Source organism: Homo sapiens, chromosome 1 (assembly GCF_000001405.40).
Source record: "Homo sapiens chromosome 1, GRCh38.p14 Primary Assembly".
Lineage (NCBI taxonomy): Eukaryota > Metazoa > Chordata > Mammalia > Primates > Hominidae > Homo > Homo sapiens.
This window is the reverse complement of record NC_000001.11, coordinates 75983867-76004064: the sequence shown is the minus strand read 5'-3', so window position 1 is coordinate 76004064 and position 20198 is coordinate 75983867. Positions and strand designations below refer to the sequence as shown.

Here is a 20198-nt window from a genome sequence, read left to right as displayed (position 1 = left end):
AATTCCAAGATGAAATAAACCTGGATGGGCTAAGTCACACTTTCTTACAGTCCTTTCTCATTATTACTATATAGCCTCATCTTGTGTAAGTCTATGGTTATTAAAAGCGACAGTATTCAGCAGGTTTACACATTTATTGATCAAACTTATTTCGAAATTACTTCAAGCTATCCTAAAAGAGCAAATTCACTTTTAAAGAGTAAAAATGTGCTACAAACCAGGGATATTCAATGTAGAAGAGAATTCTCAAAAAGAGGTTTCAGAAAATTTGGGTCAAAGGTACATCATTAAAATAAGAGCCAAGTTCTGCTTCTGCCTGAGTGTAAAAAAGATGGAAAAAGCATTTTTTTCACCCTAACAGAGACAGCTGAAGTGGCAAGACTACAAAGTTACCCAAATCCCAAGAAGAAAGAAGCCCCATCAAGAAGAGTGGGATGCACAGACTGGTACACCTATAGCAGAGTGCAGGCAAAGGAGGCACCAGCCACTGTGCACCCAGGCAAGACGAAATCAAATAAAATGTTAATACACTGCTAAAGGCCAAGCGTGGGCTACTGTGACAGGAAAGAGCCCTGGGAGCCCTAGACACAGAGGAGTTTGCACTCCAGCAGGCTCTTGGCCCCAAACCACCACAGGAAGAGTAGGGACAGATGGGAGCCTGGAGAGGACCCACCCTGGTAGTGCAGATGTGCAGAGTGGGATTAGCCCCCTCTGAGGGTATAATTCCTTCCCAGGTCCCTTCTCCCATATGGAGCAAAAGTCTTAAACCACTGGGGAGAGCAGTGAATCCTATTGTCACCACCCCCCAAACAAGGCACATGTAAAGATTCATTGCCCCCACCCCTAAAAAAATGGTTAAAAAAAACCAAAAAAACAAAACCCTTCACCTGTGGGGAAGACATAGAAGAACTACACCACTGAGGTCTCCTACCACTGGGGGAGGGGCAGGGATTTTCTTCCACACAAGATGCACCAGAAACACAAGACAGCTTGGCCGCTGCTATGGTTTAAGTGTGTCCCCCAAAGAGTTCACGTTTTAGAAACTTAACTCTCAATGCAATAGTGTTGAAAGGTGGGGACTTTAAGAGATGATTAGGTCACAAGGCCTCTCCCTCATGAGTGAATTAATGCCATTATTGTAGGAGTGGGTTAATTGTTGCAGGACTGGTGTACCTAATAAAGGGTGAGTTTCTCCTCTCTGCCCCAATGTGTGCTCTCTTTCCCTTCCACCGTCTGCCATGGAATAATGCATCAAGAAGTTCCTTGCCAGAGGTGAGAACATTTTTAAATTTTTTTGTAGAGATAGGGTCTCACAATGTTGCCCTGGCTGGTCTTGAAATCTCAGCCTCAAATGGTCTTCTCACCTCAGTCTCCCAAAGTACTAGCATTACAAGTGTGGCCCACCATGCCTGGCAGATGTGAGACTATTTTAAGATAGAAAATTGGTACTGAGAGTGAGGCTGTTGTTATAGCAGATACCTGCAAATGTGGAAGTGGCTCTGAAATTGGGTAATAGGCCAAGGCTAGAAGAATTTGGAGGAGCAGGCTAGAGAATGTCTAGATTGCTGTGAATGAAGTGTGAATGAAGTGTTAAGGGAACTTCTGGTGAGGGCTCAGAAAACAAGAGTTGAAGCAAGACCCTGCATCTTCTGAGATATTACTTAAGTGGTCTTGACAGAATGTTGATAAAAATATAGACTATAGACAGCAAAGATCATTCTGATGAGGTCTCAGATGGAACTGAGGAAAAAGGTAATACAAACTGGAGCAAAGGCCATCCTTATTACACAGTTGCAAAGAACTTAGCAGAATTGTTTCCATGTCCTAGGCCTTTATGGAAGAGGGACTTTAAGAGCAATAAACTAGGTTACACAGTGGAAGAAATTTCTAAGCAAAATATTAAAGGAGTTGTGTGGCTTCTTTTAACTGCATATAGTAAAATAGAAGAGAGAAATGATTTAAAGACAAAATTTATAATTAAAAGAGAAACAGGATTAGGGATTTGAAGGCTTCTCAGCCTGGCTGTGTGGTAAGAAATTAAGGACATTTTCAGAAGAGGAAATCAAAGATGCAGCCAAGCAACGATTTGATAAAGAGATTATTATGGGGAGAATGAAGCCTGGGGCTATTCATCAGAACAGTGGAAGAATAACCTGGAAGGCAGTTTGAAAATTACCAGTGCCCATGGCTCAGAGTGCAAAGGCCTAGGCCCTAAGAGAACAAAATAGGTCAAAAGAGAGGCCTAGGGTACTATATTAGTCTGTTTTCAGGCTGCTGAAAGAGACATACCCAAGACTGGGCAATTTACAAAGGAAAGAGGTTTAATTGGACTTACAGTTCCCATGTGGCTGGGGAAGCCTCACCATCATGATGGAAGGCAAGGAGGAGCAAGTCACATCTTAAATGGATGGCAGTAGGCAAAGAGAGCTTGTGCGGGGAAACTCCCCCTTATATAATCATCAGATCTTGTGAGATTTATTCACGATCATGAGAACAGCACAGGAAAGACCTGACCCCATGATTCAATCATCTCCCACTGGGTCCCTCCCACACACCTGGGAATTCAAGATGAGATTTGGGTGAGGACACAGCCAAACCATATCAGGTACCCTCTGTATCTTAGGGCTCACTGCCCAGGGATCCCTCAGTCTCTGCTCTCCACATTCTAGTGTAGCACTTCTCTGCCTCTCCAACATGGCTCAAGCAGGCCCAGTGCATCTCAACCCTCCATTCTGGAGTGCACAAGCAGGGAGCCTTGGTGACATCCATGTGCTAATTCTACAGATATGCAGAATGCAAGAATTGTTGGTGCATGGCTTTCTCTGGATTTCAAAGGATGTAGTGGACAGCCTGAAGGCTTATAACAAAGGCTCGTTACAGGGGTGGAATCACCACAGACAGTCCCCACTAAAGCAATGCCTAGTGAAGCTATGGGAGGAGGGCCACTGCCAAGAGTCCCCACTAGGCCGAATGGAGCCACTCCTGAGACCCCAGAACTGTAGAGCTACCAGTGTGTAAAGCCAGCCTAGAAGAGCTGCAGGCATAAGACTCCAACCTGTGAGAGTTCTGAGTGGGCTGAGCCCAGCAAAGTTGTGGGAGCAGGGCTGCCTGAGGCCGTGGATGCCTAACCCCCACCCCAGTGTGTCCAGAAGTTGGCCCAGGGAGTCAAAGATTATTCTGGAGTCTTAAAATGTAGTGTTGTTAGCCCTGTTGGCTTTTGGAATTACTTGGGACATGTTTCTCATTTCTTCTTTTCTGTTACTCCCTTTTGGAAAGGGAATGTCTAGCCTATGCCTTTCCCACCATTGTATTTTGGAAGTATATAATTGTTTAATTTCACGGGCTCACAGATGGAGAATAATTTGCCTCAGGATGAATTGTTCTTTGAGTCTCACCCATACCTGATTCCTATGAGACTCTGTACTTTGGACTTTTGAGGTGATGCTAGAACAAGTTAAGACTTTAGGGACTATTGGGATGGACTTAATGCATTTTGCACCTAAGAAGAACATAAATCTGGGGAAGGACCAGAAGTGAAATGCTATGGTTTGAATGTGTGTGTCAAAGCTCATGTGTTGGAAACATAATCCCCAATACAACAGTATTGAGAAGTGGAACTTTTTTTTTGTTTTATTTTTTATTTTTTAATTTTATTTTATTTTATTTTTTGAGACAGAGTCTCGCTGTCTCCCAGGCTGGATTGCAGTGGCACGATCTTGGCTCACTGCAAGCTCCACCTCCCGGGTTCATGCCATTCTCCTGCCTCAGCCTCCTGAGTAGCTGGGACTACAGGCGCCCGCCACAACACCCAGCTAATTTTTTGTATTTTTAGTGGAGATGGGGTTTCACCGCGTTAGCCAGGATGGTCTCGATCTCCTGACCTCGTGATCCACCCGCCTCAGCCCTCCCAAAGTGCTGGGATTACAGGCATGAGCCACTGCGCCCAGCAAGAAGTGAAACTTTTAAGAAGTGATTATGTCATGAAGCCTCTGTCCTTATGAATGGAATATTGCCATTATGGCAGGAGTAGATCAGTTATTTCAGGAGTGGGTTCCTTATAAATGATGAGTTTGTCCCCTTCCTTCTCTCTTATGTACATGTTCTTTTGCCCATTTGCCTTCTGCTGTGGGATGACATAGGAAGGAGGCCCTCACCAAATATAGGCCCCTCACCTTCAGAACTATAGGAAATAAAATTCTTTTCTTTATAAATTACTCAGTTCATGGTATTGTTATACCTACACAAAATACTCTAAAATAGTTGCAAAGAAGAGAGGAAGAAGAAACATTGAAAAAGCCCTACCACAGAGGTGTAGGCACACAGGACCAACCTGGGATGGAGTTTGGACGGGATGAGAGAATGGCAGAAATAGGAAGGCCAGTTAGGAAGTTATTGGAGAATCCAGGAGAGACAATAACAGTGACATGAGGCAAGATTATAATAGTTGGCAGTGGTGAAAAGTTGGTGGATTTTGGATCATTTCTAAAGGTTCAGCTAACATTTCTTGATGGCTTGGATGTGGTTAGGAGTAGGGTGACATGAATCTATTTTGCCCTGAACAATCCCAGTTTAAGTTGCTGTCTGGTCATAATTGGTTATAGCAGTTCCTTTCATTCTGAAAGTACCTTGTTTTCAAAGTAAATTATATAGACTCTCTAAGTTTGAGATACAGAGAGGAGTCAAGGATGTCTCCAAGTGTTTGGGCTGAGTAACTGAAACAATGAAGATCCTTTGAAATAGGGAAGGCTGTAGGTGGCACAAGTTGTGGGAGGGTAGTCAGGAGCTCTGTTTTGAATGCGGTGAATTTAAGAGGTCTGTGAGTCATTGAAGTAGAGGTGTCAAGTATACAATTTATTGTTCAAGTCTGTAGTCTCGGAGGGAGGACTGTGCTGGAGATATGAATGTAGGAGTCATCAGCATATAGATGGTATTTAAGAGGCTGAGAAGGCTCAGCTACTCAGGTAGGAGAAAAACCAACAGAATGTCATATCCTGGAAACCAAGTGTGTTAGTCCATTTTGCATTGCTATAAAATAATATGTGAGGGTGAGTAATTTGTAAGGAAAAGAGGTTTATTTTGGCTCCTGGTTCTGCGGGCTATATGAGAAACATGGTGCCAATATCTGCTCAGCTTCTGGTGAGGACCTCAGGAAGCTTACAATCATGGCAGAAGGTGAGGAGGGAGCCAGCATACCACATGGCAAGAGAGGTAGCAAAAGAGCTGCCAGGCTCTTTCAAACCACTAGCTCTCACATGACCTAACAGTGAGAGTTCATTACTGCAGGAAGGGTGCCTCATGAGGGATCCACCCCCATGACAAAAACACCTCACACCAGGCCTCACCTCCAACACTGAGGATGACTCTTCAACATGAGATGTGGAGGGGGCAGACATCCAAACCATATCACCAAGTGAAGGATGTGAAAGTTCATTTTTTAAAAATATTGTATACTTCTCATTTTACACTACGTCATATTGGCCTTCCCCCAAATTAAGCTGTTCTAAGCTTTAAAACACAAGTATCTGGAAGTATTCACTTTATTATGTAAAGCCAGAGATGAAATAAGAGACAACATGATATATTTACCAATTCAGGAAACTTAAGAGTTTAGTTCAAATTCTTATGTTAACTTGCTTAAGTCAGTGACAGTTGATTTGTGTTTTAAACCCCTTATTTGCTAAATGTTTTAGTCCTTCACTCATTCAGCAGGTATTTATTGAGTGTCTACTATGTGCAATACCCAACCAGGATCAATACCATATCACTTAATTATTAGAATAGATGTGATAATGTAAGTACTTTGGGAAATGTACTGTGTAAATATGGTACATGTTGCATACAATTTTGCTGACCATACTTCTTCAAAGACTCTTAAAATATAAGATATGCTACAACTACGCCTCTTGGATGCCTTTGGTTCAGTCTTGTTGGGAATTAGAAGCATGACCCAGGACCTTGTCTTAACTTGCAGTCATTTGTTTCCATGTGTTTAGTATCCACTGGGTGCCAAGCCCTGCACTAGCTCTGGGAATACAAAGGTGATTAAGACACAACCCTTGTCCTTGAGTAGCTCACAATCTATTAGAGTGATAGTGAAATGAACAAATACATACAATACAATGGGCTTTTCAGCAATGGTCAGATACAATTAAAAAAAAGAAAAACCACAGAGGGTAAGGCTTCCTCATTTTTAATGACAAATTTATAGTATTTTAATAAATTGCATGCTAGAGAGAAAAACTCTCCATTTTATATCAATTTAGAATAGTTGAAGAAATCAAAATGCTTTAAAAACCTCCTGGAAACAAGTTGATTCCCTGACAACTATTATCCTAAATGTGTCTTGACTGAAGGGTGAATTTTGTCCAGGTAAAATAATGCAGAAGAAAGTTGGAAATAAGATGACAAGAAAATTAAGGTATTAAAGCTCCAAAGATCAACATCCTGACAGCTATTTCCAAGAGCATTCATCCTATAAATTGTAGCCAAAAATACTACCTTAGAATTCTCTCAGGGATTCTCTGAAGTTCTGTAGACCAGCATTCTCTGTAGTTTGGCCCTTTTTAATAAGCCAAATGTTTTGCTGATTTACACTAAAATTTTATCAGAACTGACAATCTCAAAGATGAAAAGGCAAGTGAATTAAATACCTTGAGGGAAAAAAATTGCATATTTTCATTGTTTTATCCATCAGCAGTTACTTTGTTATTGAGAAAGCAAGATCTCATTAATATTGGAAAGAGACAAATATTTGCCTTCCCAAAGGTAATGGCAAGAGGAGAAGAAGCAAATTTTGGAGGGAAGAATTAAAACTAAAAGTCCAAAATGTAAAGGGAGAGTGACTTCAAAAGTATTCAGCTGAATTAATAACCACAGGGTTTTTATAATCACCAAAAGGCTTACTTTGAGAATTTTCCTTTAAAGATAATGTAATTCACTATCTTATAAAAGAAAAAGACAGTTATTTCTTCAGAACACTAAACATTCTCAATTTCCAACAACCACAGAGAGGTTAATTATGCTTATGACTGTGGCCTTTAAGGCAACCGATTTGATTGGCTTATTTAAATATAAATCTGCCGAGAAAAGGTTCTTCTGAGTATAGATTATCCATCTCCACTCTTACCTTTCCAATTTGCTAAATTAGCAGTTGTTTGATTTTCACCAAGTTTGTCTCATCTGGCAGACTGAGGGTGTTGATATGAGTTTAAGAAGATTTCATATTTCCTTTGAAAAACCCAATATATGCCATATTCAAACAATAACACTGCAAATTGATTTCTAAGACCAATCTATATGATTTTCAAATCTGCAAATGAACCTCAAAGAATAAGATTACTTTGCCTTATAAACATGAATGGAGATGAGGCCTACATTAAGACTACTTTCAGCCTTCTGATCCTAGCCCAATAAAATGTATAGTTCATATGTCACCAAAAATTCTAACACTTTGCACTTCCACTGTTTTTTAATCCAAATAATAATAAAACATATTACAAACATATTATAAAACATATTTCATAAGACAATATAATCTCCCTCATCTAGTGTTATCCCTATAATAGGCAGTGTGACAAAAAATGCTTGAGAAATCAAGAAAATGCTATGCTTGACTTGAAGCATGTTAGCTATGGCCCATGACTCTGTGAAAGTCTTCCAGGAACTCTCCACCATGCCAGTATGCATGACTAATAAGACTGGGAAGAGGATGACACTTCAGAGACGCCAGGATAACCACTGCCCAGTCTCCCCTCCTAGCCCTTAGTGAAACCAAAGATTCCTTGCCAGATTACTTTTGTTTAAAGGTAAAATAGGAAACCTGGAGGAAATAAATCAATAGGTAGTATGATTACCTATTAGTATGATTACTAGCTAGTGTAGAGCTAGGTGTTTAGTAGCTATCTCTTTGGAAAAAAAATAAAATATATAATACACCTCATTGGGTGGTTGGGATTAAAAATTAATACATCAAAAGTAGTTAGAACAGTGTCTGCAGATTCTATGTAGTCGATAGATCACACACACACACACACACACACACACACACACACACACACACAAAAACAATAGTTTTTGAGTATTGAATTGAAAGCTGTTCTGTAGTCCATAGAATATGAGTGAGGAAGAAACCCAAAGCACTATGAAGCTCTTTCTTGTACCCAGTGATACTAGGGAAAAGGTTTAAATAGGATAGGTTCTGGAAAGTTTACAAAAGAATAAATTGTAATCTTACGTTCTAAGTTGGCAATCATGACCACCACTCTATTTCCAGCCCTATCTCTCTTACAGCTGTTAACATTTGCAGGTGTCACCTGAAGCTTGTGTGTGCAGATTTAAGTATAAATACCTTATCTAAGAAGTGTCAGATCCATTAGAATCATATTTCTTTACATTATTACAGAGGAATGCTTCAAGGGGTAATCCCAGTTATATTTATGCTCACTGCTATCCATTCACAGGGGCTGCTATCATATGCACCATGTGGATACAGGGCACATCATGCAGACCCTATGCAGAAGTTAAAAAGCAAAGTATCGAAGACTTTAAAAACAACAGACAGGCATCTGAATTTTAAAAAGACATTTCAACTCTCTTCATTTTCTAATAATTAAAATATTTTGAATGCACAAATATATGAAATCCTTTATCTGTTGAGCCAGAGCTGAATCTGCTGGATGAACATTAAAAACATACAAAGAGCAGTCTTCAGTGAATAATCAGTTCCAGACAGCTCTATGCACAGAATATTTTTAATACAAGTCAAAAACACAACAAAACAAAACACTCAGCATTCCCTCCCAGGAGAAAATTCTTTTAGGGGGCTATATGACATGAATTCTGCTTCTGGTGAGATTTTGTACATTCACATGAATGCACTTCAGACAAAAGAAAGACCAATGTATAGAAGAGTTCATGACTTTACTACAAATGTTATTTCAACATGGGTCTTTTATAAGCAAGCTGAAGGTGATCTTTTGCCATTTTGGTGGAAGAGACAGCAAGGGTTGAGCAAGGTTATATCCCCATCTTGATTACGCTACCATACTGAAAATCCAAGGAAGCCTTGAGACTTGACAGCCTTGAAAATAATCCATCTCATCATGGTTCCCCAAAACATTAGAAGACTGGCTGGCACTGCATCTCTCCTTCTGGAACGCTCTTTAGTTCAAAGATGCCACATCCTAACTCTTCTCCTTTCCTCAAACCTTTTTTCATCTGTTAACATAAGCTTCACAGTAAAAGAATGTACTTAATATGAACTGATTTTTTTAAGAAAAGGAAAGATTGGCACAAACAGCCTTAAGGACATAACTAATAAAATGTAATTTAAAAGTTGCTTAAAGGAAGTTGTACATTTTGATATAACTATACCAATATTTCTTGTAGATGTGGCTCTGGGGGAAATCTTCTAGAGATCCCTGCCTCCATGTCCCCAAAACAGAAATTTCAGAGACCAGTAAGTACATTACCATCTGTGCTAAAGCCACGATAAGCCAAATTCACTGACTATAAGATCCTAACTGATAATAAATAAAAGTGAATTTACAGAGGTCCCTGATGTACAATTCTTTTTGTTCCAATCAGAGACATAGTTTTGAAAGTAACCAATAACAGAAAATTACTGAAAGAAATAAAATCAGTCTAGTGAGTGTGTCAGGTCAAGTTACATTAATAGAGATATCAAGGATTACATTGTTACATAAATAAGACAAATAGGAGGGTTGAGTGGCCCTCCCATTTTTCTTTGTTCAACTTTAAATCCAATTCCTAACTCTTAAGCAGATGCAGACCACACTGACTGTCTTACATTGTTTTATCTCTCTCAATATCTCTCAATTCCTCTGTCTCTGTGTCTCTTGCTCTCTCTGTGTATGTGTCTCTGTTCTTCACTCCCTCTCTCCATTCTCAATCTCTCTCCCTGTTTTCAGAAATGCAGTCTGAATTAGACAGAATTAACTTGTCCAGCATCCTTGGAAAGCAGTATCAGACACAGATTTCAGTAAGGAAATCAGCTGTAAATCCAAGATTCAAGAAGAGGGGATTCAAAATTATCATGACCATTAATTCTGAGGCAGTATGATTTTTCAAGTGGAGAGCACCTAGGAATTCCCCTATGAAAAGTTAAAGTTTTGCTTCAACTTTCCCACTCCCTTATATACAGCCCTTCCTCCAACTAAAACAAGGAATTGTTTCCTTGCCAAGTCATAGCCTGGTGTGGTATGTGAATATATGAAGTGTGATCATAAAATATCAGAATGAACTTTTTATCAAAAACATTAAGTCTTGTGCATGCTAGAGAGTTTCCAGAGAGTATTTCTTCCCAATCACATTAGGAGGCTGTGCAATTGTGCCACTGCTCTGGACACTTTTAAAATTCTATTACAATTCTCTCTTGTGATTGCAGCATATCAATATATTTTATTTTTATTGTTTAAATACAGGATCTCATTCCATCACCCAGGCTGGAGTGCAGTGGTGTGATCATAGCTTACTGCAACCTTGAACTCCTGAGCTAAAGCAATCCTCCTGCCTCAGCCTTCCAAAGTACTGAAATTACAGGAATGAGCCACTATGTCTGGCCCAATATCTTTAGTTGGAATTGCATCTTCAAACATTGAGGGCATATTTTATAAGTTTTTTCAAAGTCATTTAAAGTTAAATCTAGTGATTGAAATCAGGTAAACATTATTTGAGGTCAAAACAAAATATGATTATAAAATTCAAGCTACGATATGTAATTCATCTTTTACCCCATCCATGTCTTTCACTTTACCTAGCACATACTCAAGAAATGCTAATAGAAATGAATAATAGATTTTCATTGCATGGTTCATAAACTACTTTTAAAGACCATTCTGAGAGTTTTAAAATAACCATAGAATTTCTCTAGGTGTCTACTTTGGGTAGAATAGCACTAATTTTATAATTTTAATTTTATATGTGGAAGTCTAGTGTTTTTAAAAATCTCATTACTTAGTAGCCACATTCCTATTACACATCTATTGATTGGGTCTGGCCATTTGCAGCAAGCTGATTTATTCAGCCCGACTTCTGTTCAGGTATCTTGGCACTCTTATTGATGATTGAAACAGACTAACCCATAATTTCCATTTTGGTCTAGAGTAGGGGTCTGTAAACTTTCTCTGTAAAGGGCTAGACAGTAAATATTTTAGGCTTTTCAGCCCAAGTGGCAAAGTTGATGACATTATGTAACTACATATGTAACAAGAGGTAAAATAAATTTCCATAAATGTATTATTGGCAAAATTCAAAATGTAATAATAATAATTGAGTATAATTTCTTATAATACAAGTCTACTAATGACAAGAATTAAACACTTTTAGAAGGCATAACATTTCTCTTAATTGGAGTCATAGTTAATGGTCCCTATTATCAAATTAATTGCAAATGTTCACCTGTGAAAACCATTCTAAACTTCTGGAGTGTATAAAAACAGGTGTTGGAGCAGATTTGGCCCAAGGACCATAGTTGGCCAACCTCTGTTCTAGTGGCTGCAGTGAGTCATCTTTGACTACAGGGGTTCATTTAACTCTCTAAGGAGAAGTGGAAGGAAGCAGTCTGTATTTACTCTCAGTAAGAACAAGAACCATTCTCCTGGAAGTCCTGTAAACGCGGTTGTTTTCAAGCCATCTCTTAGGTGCTCCAGGGTAGAGACAGGTTGAGCGGGAGGCTAAGACAACTAGAAGGCAACTGACTGAATACTCTCCTCAGAGTTACCATATTTAATACAAAGACAGAAAGTTTTATTCCCACTTAAATATCTCTGAAATCAGATTAGGCCTTACAGTCAACAATTCAATTTAGTTGGCAGGACTATTTTCTTCCTTACTGCAAATAAAGCAGCAGGGAGACTTAAAATCAATGACATCTTAGCATTTATGAAGTATGGTAATATTTCTCATTCCAGGCTTCAATTCAGTTCCCCCTGGAGTCCCTTTACCCCTGTCTGAGTAACTACCTTTCTTATTAGAGCTTATGTTCTGCTTCCTTTTTCTGTTGCCACGAAAATGGAAAAGTCATTCTCAGTGAAGGCTTTGCATGAGCATTAAGAAACTATCAATTTTGGATTACTTCGTAGCTGGGTGTGGTAGAGGTTTGTTTAGAGATGGACTTTCTTGTAAAATTCGAGTTTGACTTATTTTTAAAAATTAACAATTTCCTTCCTTTCTAAATGACGAGAGAGACAGAAGAATTCTTCAAGGTTAGTGTGTCCAGCATGCAACCTTTCCTTCCTGGATGAGCATCCCTGGAATAGGAGAGCCAGCCTGCCTCCTGCGCTGGCACAGAGCCCGGTTCCCTAGACAACTGCCTCTCCAAATCTGATGTCCAGCGCCACCTGGTGTCCACATCAAGCAGACACAATTAATAGTCAACCTGTTCAGGAAAACTGTGAGGGGGAAAAAAAAGAAAGAGGATTTATGAAGGGAAAAGAAAGTTTAGAGGATATGCCACGATTGGAATGTAATGAGTAGAACCAGGAAGGCAGTCTCTAACCAATAAGGTGTTACAACACATGTATCTGCTTTGCCACATGGGATATGAAGACAATATATGAGTAAGCATATGTAACATAACTGATTAAAAAAAAAAAAGTTAATGTAAAAGGGGTACCAGAATAGAAGTCAGGCATCCTGGGTATTTTTCTGGTTTTCCAATTAATCTGCAAATTGTCTGTTATGCAGCAGGCACTTTAGTAGGTATCTGAGCCGAGCAAACATGGGAGGAGCTGGGGATGTGCCAAATGCTCTACATAGATTATTTCTTCCACATCTCAACTAGCCTATGAGGGAGACAGTAAAATTCCAGGGAGCATGAAGGCAGAAGACAGAGAACAGTAAGCACCAGAAAGCCTCATCAAAGGCCTGATCAAAGCTAACAATGTTGTGATTGGTAGTGAAAGTGTTTACTCATAACTAAGGCTATCCCAAAGTTGTTATAAAAGTTTGCTATCAATCTTCTTTTCTGTGATCTCCCGGCCTCACCTAAAATCAGGTGATTTCCCAGTAAAAGTCAGGGTTCTCAGAGCTACTTCCACCACTTTGTGGCTGTCTGAACACTCCATATTTGTGCAAATGCCAAGAATTGTATCACATCACTGCAGTAACTGTCTACACCATTTCTGCAGCCCTCCCAGCCATCAATCCCCCGGCACCACACATCTCTTGAGCCACAGATGAATCACAAACATAAGGAAAGAAAAATGTACAAACATATGGAGGAAATAAAACTCTCCGGTAAAGTGGTAGAATTTATTTTCATCTCCAGGAGCTGTCCTCCAGACTTGCAAAACTCCACCTTCATGCAAAAGCATCTGGAAGTTCAGAATTACTTTCCTTTGGCAAATGCATGAACTGTGACTCCTATATTTTGTATCTATTTTCTCACTTAAGACTTGAGGGCACTACAGGAAGAGCATTTCTCTCTTCTTTTACCATCTTCACTCTTGAGAGGCTTAGGGTTTGCTCGGGGAGACTCATAAATAAATAAATAAATAATAATAATAATAATAATAATTTGAATCCCAGGAAAGCTTTGGAATAAATGAGATCATGTCTATGAAAGTTATGTGTGAGCTGGAAAGTACTGTGAGTGTGTCAGGGTTCAGTTAGGAAAGCAGAGCCATGTATTAGGGGATTAAAGGATTTAGTATGGGAATTAGACTTTACAGTAAACATGGGAGGATCTGGAGAAGTGAATGTCTAGAAAAGGAAATAAGAGAATCAGAGATAGGGTCATTAACCAATGCCCCTGAAGTCCTGCACAGATGGACTAGTTTTTCTACTTCTCCAAGCATCAATTTCCTCCTACATAATGGTAAAGCATGGAGGTTCTAGAATCTGACTACTTGCATTCAAATCCTGGATCCGCAACTTCCTGGTTGTATAGTCCTGTGAAAGTTACTTCACCTCTCTATATCTCATTTCCTCCTTTGAAACTAAGGATAATAACAGCACCTGTCTATGGAGTTGTTGTGAGAATTTAGTGAAATAATACTTAGAACAGTGCCTGGACCATGTAAGCACTCAGTCAATGCAGCAATCTTTACCATCACAGGAGCATGGTGATCACTGAAAAGGATGTACGTTAGGCAGTTGGCTCACTACCCAGAATATTATACGTGCTCAGTAAACACTAGCTATGAGCTATGATAGCTTAAGATTTTGAGTCAGAGACATTGTAAGGGCAATGTAGGAGAAGTTTACATGTTGAAAATGCTAAGACATATTGGGGAACAGTCACTTGTGTGGCTGGAAGATAGGTTCTGAAGGAAACTGATGGAAACTATGATTGGAGAGACATGTCAACCAGGAAGCACTTAAGTATCACATAAACAACTAAGAGCCACAGCATGCTCTTAAGACTGACATAATGAAAGAGACTCTTTTTAGAGATTACCTGGCAGAATCTGTAGATTAGAATGGGAGAATGGGGTTAAGAATCAAATCTGCAGCAAGAAAGACTAGTTAGATAGTTCTTGTAATAATCTAGGGAAATAGTAATGAGGACTTGGATTATGATAGTAAGGATGGAAATGAAGAGAGAGAAAGTAAAGATGTGTCACATAGCAGAACTAACAGACCATGGAAATTAATTAGATATGAAATATAGCAAAGAAGAGAGCTCAAAACCAATTTTTAGGTTTAAAAAAGTCAAAGAAAAGAGCAGCCATTTGTGGAAGACAATTTTTTGAGCATGTGAAAATGAAGTACTCAGGTAAAAATGTGTGGACCGGAGCTCAGGAGAAATGTCGGGCTGGAGATAATGATCTGAGATTCATCTGGTGAGAGCTCTGAGAGTGGAAGACAAAATGCCTTCACTGCCAATCTCAATTTGGAATATGGAAAAAAGAAAAAGAAAGAGAGATAGATCGAGACAACCCTAAATATAACACAGCAAATCCTCACTAAATGTTGTCAATAGGTTCTTTGAAACTGCGACTTTAAATCATGGTTCCAGTCTGAGTGAATGTGGAGGTGTGTGTGAGGGCACCTTGTGATGGAAGGTTGTCTTGTCCAGGACTGGTTTTTTGTTTTATAATGAAAACGATTATAAATTGTTTCAATAATTGTTTTCATTATTATCTTATTTCATTCATTATTATCTTAGGCTAATTGGTATAAACAAGAGTTAAGTTCCCATGGCATATTTCTGGTAACAAAAACTTACCAGACTTCTAAATAAAGACCCAAAACACTTCTAATATTAAACAATGAAATAAAAGAGAGCTACATGTACAATTAAGAAAGAGTAATAAAAACAAGTAAGATCATTATTTACCCAAATTTGGCGAATCAGTGAGTATTAGCAGCTGTCATGGTGAAGGGTTAAGTCCAGGATAAATGTTTGCAAAGCAAAAATTGTAAGGAGCACCTCCTATTACCATGCAATTTAAAAACTAACTGTGGCAAATAGGGCAGGCTTGCTGAGTGTTTTTATACCACATTGCTTATTGTCATTTATCTGTATGATTTTGGTCTCATTTATGAATTTTTATTTGACAATAAATTATATTTGTGTATTCATTTATTTTCCAACCTGCTTATTCCAGTTCAGGGTCATGGGTGGCTGAATCTTCTTCTGGGAACCAGTCCTGGACAAGACAATCTTCCATCACAAGGTGCCCTCACACACACCTCCACATTCACTCAGACTGGAACCATTCAGACACACCAATTCATTTAGGGCACCTACAAAATCTGTGCACAGCTTTGGGATGTGGGAGAATATCAGTGCAGGCATGGGGAGAACATGCAAATTCCACATAGAGAGTGGCTCCAGCCAGAGAGCTTTTTTGTCTTCTCATCAATGCTATAAAGAAATGACAGTGAATGAAACAACATTATTTGGGGACCTACTGTATAAGTAAATCTTATTTAATAATGCACCCGTGTGTATAAAAAGATAAATAAATAGGCTATTGTAATCAATTAAGATTTATTCCCTGAGTTCAAGAATGGCTTAACGATAGAAAAAGTCTATTCATATGATTTTACCAATTAAAATGATTCTTAAAAATGACCATCTCAATGGATGCAGAAGAAAACATTTGATAGAATTCAACATTCATTAGTTACATTTTAAAAAACTTAGCAAACTAGGAATAGAAGAAAGATTTCTTAAAACAATAAAGAATGTATACCAAAATCTATGGCAAACTTTATACTCACTGATATACATTATACATTAGAAGTCTTTCTTTTAAAATCAGAAACTAGAAAAAAAACACCCTCTATCATATTTCTATTCAACATTGCAATGGATGTTCAAACCAATACAGCAAGACAAAGAGAAATAAAAGGACAGTAAAATTTTAAAATCAGATACTTTATTATCAGATGATGTGGTCTACAGAGAAATTACTTAAAATTAATAAATTATTTACAGTTGATAAATCATTAATAATTTATAATAATTTCCCCTGAAAATTTGGTGAATGGAAGATGAATATATAAAACTTAACTGAATTTCTAAACATCAACAGAAAAATGTATTTTTAAAAGATACCAGTTATAATAGTAACAAATATATATATATAAAAGATACCCAGAAATAAATTCAAACCAAAGATGCAGAAGACCATTATGGAGAAAAATTTGTAAATATTAAAAGATACTATAGATATCTCAAACAAATGGTAAGATACACAATGTTTGTGAATAAAAAGACTCAATATCATAAAAATGTCAATTTTTCTAAAATTCATTCATTAATCCAATGTAATTTCAACTGAGATTCCAAAAGTTTTCATGGATTTAATACTATGATTTTTGGCCAGGCGCGGAGGCTCAAGCCTGTAATCCCAGCACTTTGGGAGGCTGAGGTGGGAGATCAGGAGATCAAGACCATCCTGGCTAACACGGTGAAACCCCGTCTCTACTAAAAATACAAAAAATCAGCCGGGCATGGTGGCAGGTGCCTGTAGTCCCAGCTACTCGGGAGGCTGAGGCAGGAGAATGGCGTGAACCCAGGAGGCGGAGTTTGCAGTGAGCAGAGATCGCGCCACTGCACTCCAGCCTGGGTGACAGAGCAAGACTCTATCTCAAAAATTATATCTATATCTATATCTATCTATCTATATATCTGTCTATCTATCTATATGATTTTTAAATGTATATGGGAGAACAAAAGACCAATAACAAATATAAAAATTTTAAAGAAGGAAAACTATTAATAAACCCAAAGTATTACAATTTGCACTTTCAGTTCATTACATATCATAAGGATTGAGGGATTTGTCCTACTTAACATCAGTATTATTTTCCTATTTGTCCTATTTAACATAAGTATTATTTTCTATCTGTAGTAAGACAGTATTAAGACAGTGTGAGATTTGCCAGAGACAGACAAAAGACCAATGGAACAATGGGGATCCCAGAAACTGACTCATGCATATCTAGAATCCTAATATAAGACATATGCAGCATCAAAGGTTATTGGGTAAAGGATAAAGTATTCAAAAAATCATGCTAATTCCATCACAACTTGGTGAAATGAAAAAAAACATACTAAAATAATCAATTTTTTCAATGTGGAAAAAATAAAAGTATACTCCTACTGCACACTACAAACAAAATAAATCCCAGGTGATTAAAAACCTAAATGTAAAAACCCAAGCTTTTAAAAATTAGAATATATTGACCACAGGTTTTTGTGATTCTCACACAAAACACGAAAATCAAAAACCATGAGGAAAAATATTAATAAACTCAAGGTATTAAAATTTGCACTTTCAGTTCATTACATATCATAAAAATGAAAAGATAAATTAGACAAATGTTTTGCTCACATATATCTACAAAACTGTTGTTCCCATAATATCATAACATTAAAAGTCTCGAACAAATTGATAAAGAAAAAGATAAACAACTCAAATGGAAACTAAGCAAACAATACTAACAGACAATACTAGAAAAGAACACCCAATGACTAATAACACTCGCTCACATAATAGATATTGAGCAACTGGACCGTGAATGCACTGTGAGTGGTTCTGTAAGTTAGCAGGGTCACTTGGAGAGTCGCTGCTATTTCTAACAAAGTTGAAAGTGAGCTCATGCTTCAACCCACCAATTTCACATCTAGGTATGGACCTCAGAGGGCACAGTATTGTCCCTTGGGGGAATGTGGAAATTTGTCAGCCCTCACCTGATTTCAAATTGCAAAATCTACTTCCACTCAAAAAGATACTAGAATGTTAGCAATTTTATTTTGAAAATATGAATGTAATGGGTTGTACCTATTTAGCTTTATAAAAGGAGATTCCTTTCTGTCTTTGCAAGCTCTTAGTGGATTGCTTGTGATATACATCCCACTCTGGTTTAATATTTATTTTAAAAATAAAACTGTTTTCTTTCTCAAAAAAAAAAAAAAAGAAAAGAAAGAAAGAGAGAAAGGAAGCTTGGCCTAGCACCAATACTTGCTTCTAGCCCCAAGTGGCTCCAGAGGAAAAGGTGAGTTAAATAGGTATGGAGTGGCCCAGTCTTGCCATGGACCTCCAGAATCTTAGCTTCAGGAGACTCCACAACACCCATGGACATTTGAGATGTCAAGAAGCGCTGCTTGGAGATTTATCAGGGACATAACTGCAACTCGTGTGAAGTCCAGAGGGTTTTGCATGGGAATAGCTACAGTGGAACACAGCCAGGGACACTTATCCCCAAGGTTTCCACACTCCTCTAGATAGCTCTGGCCTTCTTTGACTATTGGACTTGGACAGAAAAGAGTTATCTTGCCCTTGGGATAGGATCAGTCTGATCTGAGCATCCCCCTGTCTGCCAGCATTTCCCTGGGTCCCTGCCTGGCCATACCTGCTTGCAACACAGTGTCAATGCCCAACCAGGACACTTCACAGCAGCCACTACCATAGCTTCTTCACTGGTAGACTCCACAAACCATCAGAGAGCTCCTGCAGACAGTGCCCCCCGCAACCCCGGCATGCACCTATCTGTAACCTCCCCCAGTTGCCTTAGCAGTGCATGCACATGAGCAGACCTTGCCATCCCAATCAAGTGCTTTTGCCAGCACCCCCCACCCCTGCCCATTGGACTGTTGTTGGCAGTGGACCAGGAATACCTCAGCCCCTCAAGCAGAGCAGGTGCTTAACCTCAAGTGGCCAGAGAACAAAGCCATGGGCCTGGTCCCAACTTCCCAAAGTTAGCGCATGCAGCACTGGAGTCCTGAGCTGAGTCTTGGCCCCCTGAAATTGTCCAGAAATAAAGCCAATCAACTGAATCCAACTTACACCACAGTCAAACCCTTAAGAGCATCAGAGAATATAAAGAGCTCTGGTGACTCTAAAAGCCACAGTGTCTTCTTACTTCCAAATAACCATGCTAGCTCCCCAGGAATGGTTCTTAACCAGGTTGAAATGGCTGAAATGACAGACATAGAATTCCATACAGAATGGCAATGAAGATCATGAGATTCAGGAGAAAGGTGAAAACCAATCCAAGAAATCTAAGGAATCCAGTAAAACATTACAAGAGCTAAAAGATGAAAGAGCCATTTTAAAGAAAGTACCAAACTGATCTGATAGAGCTGAAAAACTCACTATAAGATTTTCATAATACAATCAGAAGTATTAATGGCAGAATAAACCAAGCTGAAGAAAGAATCTGAGAGCTCAAAGATCAGTTTTCACATCAACTCAGTCAGACAAAAATAAAGAAAAAGGAATAATGAATGAACAAAACCTCTGAGAAATATGGGATTATTTAAAGAGAACAAATCTACAAATTGGTACACTTGAAAGAGAGGAAGAGCGAACAAGCAACTTGGAAAGCATATTTGAAAGTATTATCCATGAAAATTTCCGCAACCTCACTAGAGAGATTGACATTCAAATCCAAGAAACTCAGAGAATCCCTGTGACATACTAAACAAGACGGCCATCCACAAGATACAAAGTCATCAGATTCTCCAAGGTGGAAATGAAAGAAAAAAATGTTAAGGGCAGCTAAAGAGAAGGAGCAGGTCACCTGCTCCATCAGACTGACAGCTGACTATTCAGAGTAAACTCCACAAGCCAGAAGAGATTGGAAGCCTATATTCAGCATCTTTTTTTTTTTGACGGAGTCTCACTCTGTCTCCCAGGCTGGAGTGCAGTTGCGCAATCTCGGCTCACCGCAAGCTCTGCCTCCTGTGTTCATGCCATTCTCCTGCCTCAGCCTCCTGA

The 20198-nt window shown here is 38.7% G+C and overlaps 1 long non-coding RNA gene across 1 annotated transcript in view; it reads left to right on the top strand.

Moving 5' to 3' along the window:
• Window positions 1-1118: 1118 nt before the first annotated feature.
• LOC105378806 (uncharacterized) overlaps window positions 1119-20198 on the top strand; it is a 38030-nt gene continuing 18950 nt past the window's right edge. The window contains exons 1-2 of the long non-coding RNA XR_947521.3: window positions 1119-1272; window positions 9388-9457. This is a non-coding gene — a long non-coding RNA (uncharacterized LOC105378806). The remainder of the gene's footprint in view (window positions 1273-9387; window positions 9458-20198) is intronic.